This window comes from Homo sapiens, chromosome X (assembly GCF_000001405.40).
Source record: "Homo sapiens chromosome X, GRCh38.p14 Primary Assembly".
Classification (NCBI taxonomy): domain Eukaryota; kingdom Metazoa; phylum Chordata; class Mammalia; order Primates; family Hominidae; genus Homo; species Homo sapiens.
The window spans coordinates 3,066,591-3,080,048 of record NC_000023.11 but is presented as its reverse complement, the minus strand read 5'-3'; the positions used below and the strand labels follow the sequence as shown (position 1 = coordinate 3,080,048).

The 13,458-nt window shown below is 40.8% G+C and overlaps 1 protein-coding gene across 7 annotated transcripts in view; it reads right to left on the bottom strand.

The window, feature by feature from the left end:
• The window catches only part of ARSF (arylsulfatase F), a 72,494-nt gene that overhangs the window by 32,679 nt on the left and 26,357 nt on the right, over positions 1 to 13,458 (bottom strand). For 4 of the 7 annotated variants that reach the window (XM_011545522.2, XM_011545523.2, XM_011545524.2 and 1 more), the window contains exons 1-4: positions 13,010 to 13,069; positions 11,938 to 11,976; positions 7,874 to 8,023; positions 3,380 to 3,501 (exon numbers count right to left, since the gene is read on the bottom strand). In XM_011545522.2, coding sequence (XP_011543824.1) covers positions 3,380 to 3,501; positions 7,874 to 8,023; positions 11,938 to 11,976; positions 13,010 to 13,032 — 334 coding nt within the window. In that variant the 5' untranslated portion in view covers positions 13,033 to 13,069. Of the gene's footprint in view, positions 1 to 3,379; positions 3,502 to 7,873; positions 8,024 to 11,937; positions 11,977 to 13,009; positions 13,070 to 13,176; positions 13,251 to 13,458 lie in introns of those variants that run through there. The other 3 variants (NM_001201538.2, NM_001201539.2, NM_004042.5) reach the window with 2 other exon arrangements.

Genomic DNA, 13,458 nt, shown 5'->3' with positions numbered 1-13,458 from the left:
AGCGAAGACTACTTCCCTCACCATTTTTTTTTCTTTTTTTTTTTTCTCTCTCTCTCTTTTTTTTTTTTTTTTTTTTTTGTTGTTGTTGTTGACATGAAATCTCACTCTGCTGCCCAGGCTAGAGTGCAGTGGCATGATCTCAGCTCACTGCAACCTCTGCCTCCTGAGTTCAAGCAATTCTCCTGTCTCAGCCTCCCGAGTAGCTGGGATTACAGGTATGTACCACCATGCCCAGCTAATTTTGTATTTTTAGTAGAGATGGGGTTTCACCATGTTGGCCAGGCTGTTCTTGAATTCCTGGCCTCAACTGATCTGCCCTCCTCAGCTTCCCAAAGTGCTGGGATTACAGGTGTGAGCCACCATGCCCCAAGCCCACTTCCCTCACCTTTAAAAATAGAACTATATGACTGGATGTGGTGACTCGCACCTGTAATCCCAGCACTTTGGGAGGACAAGGCAGGGGGATTACCTGAAGTCAGGAGTTCGAGACCAGCCTGACCAATATGGGGAAACCCCGTCTCTACTAAAAATACAAAATCAGCTGGGCGTGGTGGTACATGCCTGTAATCCCAGCTACTCAGGAGGCTGAGGCAGGAGAATCGCTTGAACCCAGGGGCAGAGGTTGCAGTGAGCCGAGATTGCGCCATTGCACTCCAGCCTGGGCAACAAGAGTGAAACTCCATCTGAAAAAAAAAAAAAAAAAAAATAGAACCATGCAACCCAACAATTTCACTCCTGGGGAATGTCAAAAGAATTGAGGTTCCTGAGGAACCCAAAAGGATTGAAAACTGGTATTCAAAGAAAAACTTGTACATGTATGTTCATAGTTGTATTCCTCACAATCACTAAACAATAGAAACATCTTGACTGCCCATCAATTGATGAATGGATGGAGAAACTGTAGTGAATCCATGCGAGGGAATAGTATTCAACATAAAAATAAATGAAACTCTGACCCAGGCTACCATAAAACATTATGCTTGGTGACAGACGCCAGTCACAGACTGTCACATACTGTATGATTCCTTTTATGTGAAATGTCCAGGACAGACATGTTTGTAGAGACGGAAAGTGGATTCTTGGTGACCGGGGGCTGCGAGAAGGGGGAATGGGGAGTGATTGCTTCATGGGGACAAGATCTCCTTTGTGGGTGATGGAAATGTTCTAGAATTCGATAGAGGTGATGGTTGTACAATATTGGGAAAGAGCTACATGCTACTGAATAGCACATTTAAAAATAGCTACTTTTGGCCAGGCACGGTGGCTCATGCCTAAAATCCCAGCACTTTGGGAGGCCGAGGTGGGCCGATCACTTGAGCTCAGGAATTCAAGACCAGCCTGGTTAACATGGTGAGACCCCATCTCTACCAAAAATACAAAAATTAGCTGGGCATGGTGGCGGGTACCTGTAATCTCAGCTACTCAGGAGGCTGAGGAGGGAGAATCGCTTGAGCCCTGGAGTTTGAGGCTGTGATGAGCTGAGATTGTGACACTGCACTTCAGCCTGGGCAACAAAGGGAGACCCTATCTCAAAAGCAAAAAACCAAACAAACAAAAAAAGTCACCAGGTTGGGTGCAGTTGCTCATGCCTGTAATCCCAGAACTTTTGGAGGCCAAAGAGGGAAGATGGCTTGAGTTCAGGAGCTCGAGACCAGCCTGGGGAACACAGCAATACCCTAAGTAGTTAAAAAATTAGCCAGGCATAGTGGTGCACACTTGTGGTTCCAGTTACTTAGGAAGCTGAGGTGGGAGGATCACCTGAGCCTGGAAGGTTGAGGTTGCAGTGAGCTGTGATCATACCACTGCACTCCATCCCGGTCAACAGAGCAAGACCTTGTCTCAAAATAATAGTAATAAATTAAAAAGTAATGAGAACATGACAACTAGAGCTTACGATAATTTCGTTCTTCTCATTTCATTTTTGTTTTATCTAAAATTGATATATGGCCGGGTGCGGTGGCTCACACCTATAATCCCCGCACTCTGGGAGGCTGAGGTGGGTGGATCACCTAAGGTCAGGAGTTCAAGACCAGCCTGGCCAACATGGCGAAACTCCATCTCTACTAAAAATACAAAAATTAGACAGGCCTGGTGGCACGTGCCTGTAATCCCAGTTACCCAGGAGGCTGAGGCAGTAGAATCACTTGAACCCAGGAGGCAGAGGTTGCAATGAGCCGAGATTGCACCACTGAACTCCAGCCTGGGTAACAGAGCGAGACTCCATTTCAAAAATAATAATAATAATAATAATAATAATAAATAAAATAAAATTGATATAAATTGAGCAAGGGGATAATACTACTGTCTCCATGGGTAAAATGCTGTGATGAAAGTTGTCCAAAAATCTGATAGCTATTTCTTGGTTTATGACTTTGTGGGTTTTTGGTTGTTGTTGCTGTTTGTTTGTTTTGAGACAGAGTCTCGCTCTGTCACCCAGGCTGGAATGCAGTGGCACAATCTTGGCTCACTGCAACCTCTGCCTCCCGGGTTCAAGCGATTCTCCTGCCTCAGCCTCCTGAGTAGCTGGGACTACAGGTGCATGCCCCCATGTCCGGCTAATTTTTGTATTTTTAGTAGAGATGAGCTTTCACCGTGTTGGCCAGGCTGGGCTCGAACTCCTGACCTCAAGTGATCCACCTGCCTTGGCCTCCCAAAGTGCTGGGATTACAGGCATGAGCCACCATGCCCGGCCATGACTTTGTGGTTTGAAAGAAAAAAAAAGATATTTTTTGGTGACAGACTGAATGTGTAAACACATGTTGTATTAATTACTTCATTCCAAGACAGCTTATCTTTGTTGACCTGGGAAACTCAAATGTACACCTTGTGACTTGGAATTCAGATAAAAAACTCTCATTGCATCAAAAGACAACTGAAGCACACAGGGTGATCTTGCATCTCTGAGAAGCGCAGCCATTTTGATGTGACCAGTGCTAGCTGTGTGTGCCAGTGCACCTATGCACATGTGTGCTTTTTCTTTTCTTTCCTTTGTATCTTTTTTTTTCTTTCTAACACATGCTCTATCAACGAGGCTAGAGTGCAATGCTGTGATCACACTCACTGCAGCCTCAAACTCCCGGGCTCAGGCGATCCTCCCACTTCAGCCTCCCAAGTAGCTGGGACCACAGACACATGCCACCATGCTCAACTTATTTTAAAAAAATTTTGTGGAGATGGGGTCTTGCTCTGTTGCCCAGGCTGGTTTGAAACTCCTGGGCTCAAGCAATCCTCCCACCTTGGCCTCCCGAAGTTCTGGGATTACAGGCGTGAGCCATCGTGCCCAGCCCTTTTTTACTTGTTAACGTGGTCAAGCCACATTTTTGTTTCCTCACATCCTAACATGAGGGCAGAGCCCAGCAGAGCCCGCCAGTTTGCGCACCTGATCGGATGGGGTATCTTCCCGTCAAGAACGCGGACCGGCTTGGGCTGCAGAGGGAGGCGGCAGAGATGTGCTGAGTCAGTCGCACGCCTTCCCTGGCAAGGCGGTCGATGTGAGGCGTCCTGAAGGGGGAGAGGGAAGGTGTATTGGAGAGAAGGAAAAGGTGGGGGGCGGGGGAAGCAGAGAGGAAGAGCGAGAGGAAGACAGAGAAGGACAAACAGAAAGGCACAGGTGGAAAGAGAGAGGAGAGACAGACAGGGAGAGAGGGAGAGACCCAGAAAGCGAGGCAGAGAGAGAGACAGACAGAAAGAAAGGATGAAAGAGAGAGAGAGACAAACGAGAAAGAGAGCAACAGAAAAGGATAGAAAGAGAAAAACAGAAAGAGAGAGATGAAAAGAGACAGAGAAAGAGACAAAGGGTAAGACACACAGAGAGAAACAGAGAGAGATGGAAAGAGAGAGACAAACAGAAAAAAGGAGAGAGAAAGACAGAAAGAGGGAGACAGAGAAAGACAGAGAGGGACAGAGAGAAGACAAGAGAGAGAGAGAAAGACAGAGAGAGAGAAACAGAAAGAGAGAGATGGAAAGAGACATGCAGAGATTAAGAGAGAGACAGAAAGAAATGGAAAGAGAGATAAACAGAGGGAGGGAGACAGAGAGAAACAGAAAGAGAGGTGGAAAAAGAGACAGATGGAGGGAGACAGAAAGAAAAACAGAGAGAGACAAACAGGGAGAGATGAAAAGAGAGAAAGAGACACAGAGAGAGATACAGAGAGAGAGATGGAGAGAGAGAAGAAGAGAGGAAGAGAGAGACAGAGAGAGATGGAAAGATACAGACAGAGGGAGAGAGAAGGAAAGAGAGAAAGACACAGAAAGAAATGGATAGAGTGAGATAGACAAAGAGAGAGACAGAGACAGAGACAGACAATCAGAGAGACATAGAGAGACAAGCAGACAGAGAAAGGGGGAAGACAGAGACAGACATAGAAAGAGATGGAGAGACAGATGGAAACAGAAGGACAGAGAGAGGGAGAGAGAGAGACAGAAAGAGATAGAAAGAAATGGATAGAATGAGATAGACAAAGAGAGGGAGACAGAGAGAGACAATCAGAGAGAGAGATAGAGAGACAGGCAGACAAAGAGAGGGAGACAGAGAGAGACAGAGAGAGAGATAGAAAGAGACAAGCAGACAGAGAGGGGTGACAGAGACACGCATAGGCATAGAAAGAGATGTAGAGACAGAAAGAGGAGAGAGAGAGACAGAGAGAGAGACAGAGAGATCTGAAGATAAACAACATCTCTGTTTATTATGATTTCCAGGTACCCAGAGCAGGTAACTGCACACGGAGTTCATTTTTCTTTTTTGCCCGTGTCAAGGTGAAGTATGACTGAGATTCCAGGCAGCTGTTGTTCTGCAGGGTTCATATACCTGGGTGCCACTATATGGTGTCCATTCACTGTACTTCAGCCTTACAAAATAAAATGCTTAAGGGATTGGGGTCTGATTCATCGAGGCTAATTGCTTACAGACCTTACTTATGCCTAACTACTCACAGACCCACCCACTCACTGGTTTGATAGATACATTTCCCTGCAGTCTGCATAGGTTGCAAAACTGTCATATGATTAAATATTCAAAAGAAGGAAATCCCACCATTTTCGACAACACAGATGAACTGGAAGGGTATTAGATTAAATGAAATAAGCCAAGCACAGAGAGACAAATACCGCATGATCTCACTTATGTGTGGAATCTAAAATAGCAAACTCAGAAGTAGACAGTAGAATGGTGGGTATCAGGCGCTGGGGTGAGGGTCGAGAACAGGTAGGTTAAAGGATACAACATTTCACGGAGCCAAACGTGAATAAATCCTCTATTTGATTTATTCCTCACATAGAGGAATAAATTTAAGAGATCTGTTGCAGATTGTGGTGACTATAGTTAATAACAATGTATTCTATTCTTGAAATTGCTATAATTTTCACCATTTTCACCACATATAAATAATAAGTATGTGTGGTTGTGCATGTTAATTAGCTTGATTTAGCTATTCCACAATGGATCCATGAATCAAAACATCATGATGTACACCAGAAATACACAGAACTATAATTCGTCAATTAAAAAATAATTTAACAAGAGATTTCTGGAGGCTGGAGAGACTTCTGGAAAAAGAATCAGTCTCCTCTTGGATGAAAATAAAATATAATGAGTTCTACATTTATTCATGAGAGAAATTATGACAGGTAACTGGTGCAAGGAGAAGTTCCAGCTTTACCAAGGTGTGCATCTGATTTTTTTTTCAGATATGGAAGTCACCTACCAACTTTTAAAACATTATTTATTTTGCAAAGAAAAAAATTGTAAACTGCATTCCTGGGGCACATGTGCCTGGTTTTAGATTTCACATTATAATCTCACTTCTCAAATTGCTAGTATTTTCAGCAAAACACCGATACCCCACGCTAACATACTCTCTGTAAATATCTGCCATTTATGGACACCATGTTTCTGCGCTTTTCGGTGAGTCCTCTCTTCTTTTCTCATAAGCAATGGTTAATTTTTGGCGACTACTTTTTCATGACTCCTAGCTCCGTTGTCGAAAACTGTGATGACTACCTTCAGCATCTATTAGTCATACAACGCAATGATCTTAAAAGTGTATGATGTACGTCTGATAACGATGTACTCCTAAGCTCAGTATAAGAATGGCTAATACAGATAGCTTCTATTATCCACCACAAAGCACTGAGTTTGTTTCATATCTGTTTTTCTTCTTTCAGAATGCCCATTGTTAAAAATACAAGCTCACCATCTTAAAGAATCTATTGGCTCACCAAATTAGGAAACAGAATGAATTCTGCTGAATATACATATTCACATTTATATATTTATGAATATATATAATTGAATATATATTCATAAATTCATACATATTTATTAATATATATTTATATATTATAAATCTATATTTATAATATATATTTATTAATTATATATTTAATTATATATTTATAATTATATATAATTTTATTTATAAATATATTTATAAATATTTATATTATATTTATTTATATTAAAATATTTATATATGTATAATTAAATATATATTAATAAATAATATATATTTATTTATTAATATATAGTATAGTGATCAGATCAGGGTAATCAGCACATCCAGTGCCTCTAGCATTAACCAGGATGGTCATAGTAAAAGCATGGCTATCTGGACCCGAGTCCTGGCTCTGCATTTACTAGCTCTGAAGTCTTGGAGAAGTCGCTGAACCTCTCTGTGCCTGTTTTCTTATTTGTCAAATGCAGAGAAGCCTTTATATCCCTGAGTTTATGTGTGTAAAGAACTTAGAATAGTACCTAACACACAACTACCCTCTATCATACAGCCTATTATGAATATTATATATTATATATATAAATATATATTTATATATTATCAATATATATTGATAATATATACTTTTATATATTATCAATATGTATGAAGATATATTCATTTTATATAAATATTTATTTATATAAAATGAATATATATTTACATATATTTATTTAAATGTACTTTTATAAAATATATAAATATATGTTTATATATTTATTTAAATATATTTATATTTAATTTTTAAAAATACATTTATATAAAAGTGAATATATATTCATAGACATAGAAATATGTATATGTTCATGTATATATGAATAACATATTCATATATATTAGTAATATTATATATTCATATATTATAAATATATTCATATATGTTTATACATTGAATGTATGTTCATATATTCATAATATATGGATATGTAATATAATAAATGTATGATATATACTTTATATATTATAGAATATATTCATATATGAATATATCACATATATTTATATAATGACATTTATATGTTCATATCTGTATATGTACATGTACATACAATCATCATGCTTCATAATAGGCTGTATGATAGAGGGTAGTTGTGTGTTAGGTACTATTCTAAGTTCTTTACACACATAAACTCAGGGATATAAAGCCTTCTCTGCATTCGACAAATAAGAAAACAGGCACAGAGAGGTTCAGCGACTTCTCTAAGACTTCAGAGCTAGTAAATGCAGAGCCAGGACTCGGGTCCAGATAGCCATGCTTTTACTATGACCATCCTGGTTAATGCTAGAGGCACTGGATGTGCTGATTACCCTGATCTGATCACTATACTTTGTATGTATCCAAACCTCACTGTGTACCCTGTGAAGATGGACAATTATTATTTCTTAAGTTTAAAAACTGAAAGAGATTCAAATTAAAATTATTAAAAATGTAATTGTAAAACTATTACATAATCTAAATAATTTAAAACTATCAAAAAGTTTAAAGTAACTTAAAAAAAAGTCCCAACAAATACATTTGGTTTTGCACATAGATGCAGCCGTACAGCCAGCCTGCTGAACCTGAACGACTGACGAACGTATGACTGGCCATGAAACCGCCTTACCTCATGGTGTCATTGCCGTAGCAGCCCAGATCTCCAATACCCAGGTCATCAACCATGATTAGGACAATATTAGGCTTGTCGTCATGCACCCTGTGTGCCTGGCATGTGTTCAAGAGTGCACACACCAAAGACATGAAGACCAAGGGTCTCCTGGAAAGCAAGCAGGGATTTTATTGGTATCAGGCTTCTCTGGGTGGATTCAGGATCCACCTCCCAACACAACACAACAGGGGTCTTTGGAGATCACGTGGATCTCCCAGGCATCTCCTGAAGCTCAAGAGTGTCTCTCTCCAAGCACCGAGCACTGCTGCTGAATGGTAGCGGAAGTGCCCAACGTAATGCGTTATTGGCTTCTCACTTTGCATAAAATAAAGGCTAAAACAACAGATGTTAACATGGATGCAGTGAAAAGGGAATCCTTTTATACTGTTAGTGGGAATGTACAAGCGCTGTGGAAAACAGTATGGAGATTCCTTAAAGAACTAAAAGTAGATCTACTATTTGATCCAGCAATCCCACTCCTGGGTATCTACCCAGAGGAAAAGAAGGCATTATATATAAAAGACACTTGCGGCCGGGTGTGGTGGCTCACACCTGTAATCTCAGCACTTTGGGAGGCCGAGGCAGGTGGATCACCTGAGGTCAGGAGCTCGAGACCAGCCTGGCCAACATGGTGAAACTCTGTGTCTACTAAAAGTACAAAAATTAGCCGAGTGTAGTGGCACACTCCTGTAATCCCAGCTGCTAGGGGGGCTGAGGCAGGAGAATCACTTGAACCCGGGAGGCGGAGGTTGCAGTGAGCCAAGATTGTGCCACTGCACTCCAGCCTGGGTGACGGACCGAGGTTCCATCAAAAACAACAACAACAACAACAACAACAACAAAAGACACTTGCACACGCATGTTTACAGCAGCACAATTTGCAGTTGCAAAAATGTGGAACCAGCCCAAATACCCATCAATCAATGAGTGGATAAAGAAAATGTGATATATAGAGATAGATAGCTATAGATTGTATACAAAGTGAGAAGCCAAGAGCGCATTTCTTTGGGCACTTCTGCTGCCATTCAGCAGCAGTGCTTGGTGCTTGGAGCGAGACACTCTTGATATCTATAGATCTGTAGATACCTATATATAACACATCTTCTTTATCTGTATAGATCTGCAGGTATCTATCTATCCATATCAAATTTTCATATTCATACACACACACACACACACACACACACACACACACCATGGAATACTACTCAGCCATAAAAAGGAACAAAATAATGTCATTTGCAGCAACCTGGATGGAGTTGGAGACAATTATTCTAAGTGAAGTAACTCAGGAATGGAAAACCAAACATTGTATGTTCTCACTCATAAGTGGGAGCTAAGCTATGAGGCTGCAAAGGCATAAGAATGACGCAATGGACTTTGGGGACTCAGGGAAAGGGTGGGAGGGGAGTGAGGGATCAAAGACCGCACATTGTGTGCAGTGTACACTGCTCAGGGGATGGGTGCATCAAAATCTCACAAATCACCACTAAAGAACTTATCCATGTAATCAAACATCACCTGCTCCCCAAAAACTATTGAATTTTTTTTAAAAGGCTAAAGTAGATGCCCTTCCAGGAGGGAAGTCTGAAAACACGTACTCAGGGGCAAATCATTGCAGAGGACGGAGACGATAAGACTCCTGAGGTTAACTCCCTCTTCCAGGGACTTAACCTCATTTAAGGGACTTAAATGAGTCTCTACAGGTAAGGGATTTAACCTTAACTTCATTCTAAAATTAGAATTTTTATTCTAATTTAAGGGCATGTGGGTGTGTGTGATCCTTACAGTACTATTCACAATGGCCAAACTGTGAAATCAACCTCAGTGTCCATCATTGCATGAATGGATAAAGAAAATGCGGTACATATACACCGTGGAATATTATTCAGCGTTAAAAAAGAATGAAATTCTGTCATTTACAACAACGTGGATGAACCTGGAGGTCATTATGCTAAGGAAAATAAGCCTGGCACAGAAACACCAATACCACATGATCTCACTTCTATGTGAAATCTCAAAAAGTTGATCTCATAGAAGGAAAGGGTAGAATGATGCCTGCTGGGAGCTGGGGGGCCAGTGGAGGGGTTGGGGAGATGTTGGTCGAAGGATACAAAATTTCAATTTGACAGGAGAAATAAGTTCAAAGAATCTATTGTACTTGTGCTGACTGTAGTTAATAAGAATGTATTTTAGAGTTGAAAATTACTGATAAAATCTACTCAAAGTGTTCTCATCACAAATAGGTAAGTGGATGAGGTAACATGCATTAGCATAATTGAGCTATTCCAAAATGCAGGCGTATTTCAAAACATCAAGTTGTACACCATAAATCTATGCAATGTTTATATGTCAGCTTTTTTGACTCAAGGGACAATAAAAAAAGAAAAAGAAATTTAAAAAGGAAAAAAATAAAAAGAAAAATGAATTTAAAAAGAAAGAAAAAATAAATAAAAATAAAATATTCATAATATAAAAAGAATAAATACATGCAATTTATCATTACTCCAAATTTTTAAAAAGTCAGGTTGCAGTGGCTCACACCTGTAATCCCAGCTCTTTGGGGGGCTGAGGCAGGAGAATCAGTTCGTCACCAGCCTGGGTAACATAGTGAGACCCCATCCCTACAAAAAAATGTAAAAATGAACTGGGTGTGGTGGTGCATGCCTGTAGTCCCAGCTACTCTGGAGGCTGAGGTGGGAGGATCGCTTGAGCTCAGGAGTTCAAGCCTGCAGTGAGCTGAGATTGCGCCACTGCACTCTAGCCTGGGCTACAGGACGAGACCCTCAAAAGAAGAAAAAGTGTGAGAATAGCAGCTTTGGCTGGAGAAAAGAAAAACAAGCAAAAAAATAAATAAATAAAATAAAATAAGGAATTACCAAGTAAAGGAAAAGTGGAAGTTGGGGAAAGAACTGAATTGAGGAAAAGAAAGAAACGTGGACTCTGAGGACCACCTGAGTCCACTTCATAGTTTTGCTCAGTCCCAGCTGAGGTCATATTTTCTTAAGGAAACACATGACGCTCTTCTCAGCATATCCCTACTCAGTTATCAGGTAATGAATATTGGACATGTGGATTATTGATTCAATTCCTATCTCATGTCTATACATGTTTCAAAACCCACTTCAAATATCTCCTCTGAGAGAAAAAATACAAACAGGAGTTCATCCCTATTGGCTCTCAGAGTCCTTTGTAAATACTCTGAAACAATGACAGCCACAGAAGAGTACAATTTTTTTGCTGTATGCAAACATCTCCTTGAAGATTGAGAATGTCTTGCAGGCAAAAGCTACATGCTCAGGACTGTGGGCCAAATCCCCGAAGTTATAGAAATGCTTTTCATCTATGCAAAGTTAGTTGAATTTTTTCACCTCCTGTTTTTACAACACTTTAAAATCATGTATACGGCTGGGCACAATGGTGGCTCACACCTGTAATCCCAGCACTTTGAGAGGCTGAGGCGGGGGGATTCCTTGAGCCCAGGAGTTCAAGACCAACCTGGGCAACAAAATGAGAACCTGTCTCTACAAAAAATAAAAATAAAAAATTAGCTGGGCGTGGCGATAAGCACCTGAGGTCCCAGCTACTCTGGAGGCTGAGGCTGGAGGATCTCTTGAGCCCAGGAGTTGGAGGTTGCAGTGAGCTATGACTGCACCACTGTCGTCTACCCTGGGTGACAGAGCAAAACCCTGTGAAACCCTGTCTCTAAAATAAATAAAAATAAACATAAACTCATATGTATCTGTTGGAAATTTACAGTTTACATCTCTATCAATTGCCTAACTCCTACCTTTTTAAAAAACTTACACACTTACTAAGTCGAGAGAATGAACTTAGACATCTTATGGCCAGCCATATAAAGACAGCATGTTGACTCATAGTAGGTTACAAGAAAAGAAAAAGAAAAAAGAAAAAAAGGCAGATGATATTAAATGCCTCTACCTATAAGGCTGGATTCACAAATACACAGAATTATACATTAGATTCAATGTGCTCACAATGCAGTATATGGCTTTACCTACCTGGGCCTCATTGTGCAGCTTGGAATACCTTCTTGTTGTCTTTGGCAGAAGACACAGACGTGATTTAAAAGACCAAAAAAAAAAAAAAAAAGTATCATTCATGTGTCAATTAAATTAGTTCCCAGCATGAAATTCACACTAGACTTGTGAGCCATATCCCTAATTCCGACATTTTTAAATTGATTTTCCAAGGCCACTACTGCACAAATCCTGAACTTTCAATGAGTTCATTCTTTTGACCTTTTTTTTTTTTTTGAGCCGGAGTCTCGCTGTCACCCAGGCTGGAGTGCAGTGGTGCAACCTCAGCTCACTGCAACCTCTGCCTCCCGGGTTCAAGCCATTCTCCTGCCTCAGCCTCCTGAGTAGTGGGGACTACAGGCGTGCACCACCACGCCCGGCTAATTCTTGTATTTTTAGTAGAGATGGGGTTTCAGCATGTTGGCCAGGCTGGTCCTGAACTGCTGACCTCAAGTGCTCTGCCCGTCTTTTGGCCCATTTTTAAAAGAACTCCTGCTGCCCCAAGTCCTGGGGCTCTTGGATGAATTGTCTCAGTGGCAAAACCTGCCCTGAAACATGCTGGCCCAAGAGCATTGTCTCAATGTCCTGCCAAGCCTAAAAGTTTAAACTCAGAAAGCTTCTGTGTCCTGAATAAGGAAAGAGGCAATTAATCAAAATGAGCTCCCTCTTTTTTGACTGCAAAATGCAGAAACCACTGAATGACTAATGGTTATATTTAGTTGGCAGTGGCAGAGGGGTTAGGACTAAGGGATATGACAGCCAAATGCATTACAATGAAAGAAAAGCCCATCTGTAGTCTGCAAGTTATTACCCATATTTGTACCTTAAAATAACACTAAGGACAAAATACAAACGCATTCCTCCTTAAATTCATTTTGTTCCAAAGCATGTATACTCTGGACACATACTATACACACTACACAGACACACACGCACGCACACTCACACACACACACACACACGTTCTTGGTTAAGAAAGAAAAAGGAAGGGAGGGAGGGAGGGAAGAAAGAAGAAAGGGTATGAGAGTAACAGAAAGGAGAGAAACTTGCTCACACTAAAATTGGTTTGGAATCCATTTCTCAGTGCCTAAGCTGATGATCCATTGAGTTTCAGAATACAATAGGTCAATGGATCTTTCAACTATGCCCGTTTCTACCAGAGGTTAAAAAAAAAAAAAAAAGGCTGAGAAAATGTGTCCAAACAAGCCTTCCCCAACTCACCTATCAGCCGTATTATCTCTCTAATGTCTAGGAGCAGAACAGACAGGCTGTTCTGCAAAGGCTCTGCCTCTTTTGGCAGCTGCCTCGAATCATTACGAAAGCATCAGCTGCTCCGTGTCACCTCTCTCTCCCATGGGAGGGCTGGTCCCTGCTAGGCTCACCCAGATGGTTCCCGTTGCTAATCTGCAGCCCGCATTTGCAACTCCTACTACACACCCAGGAAAAGAAAAACAACAGCACATCAACAACAAAACATTACATTCAGCCAAATACCTACAGCCT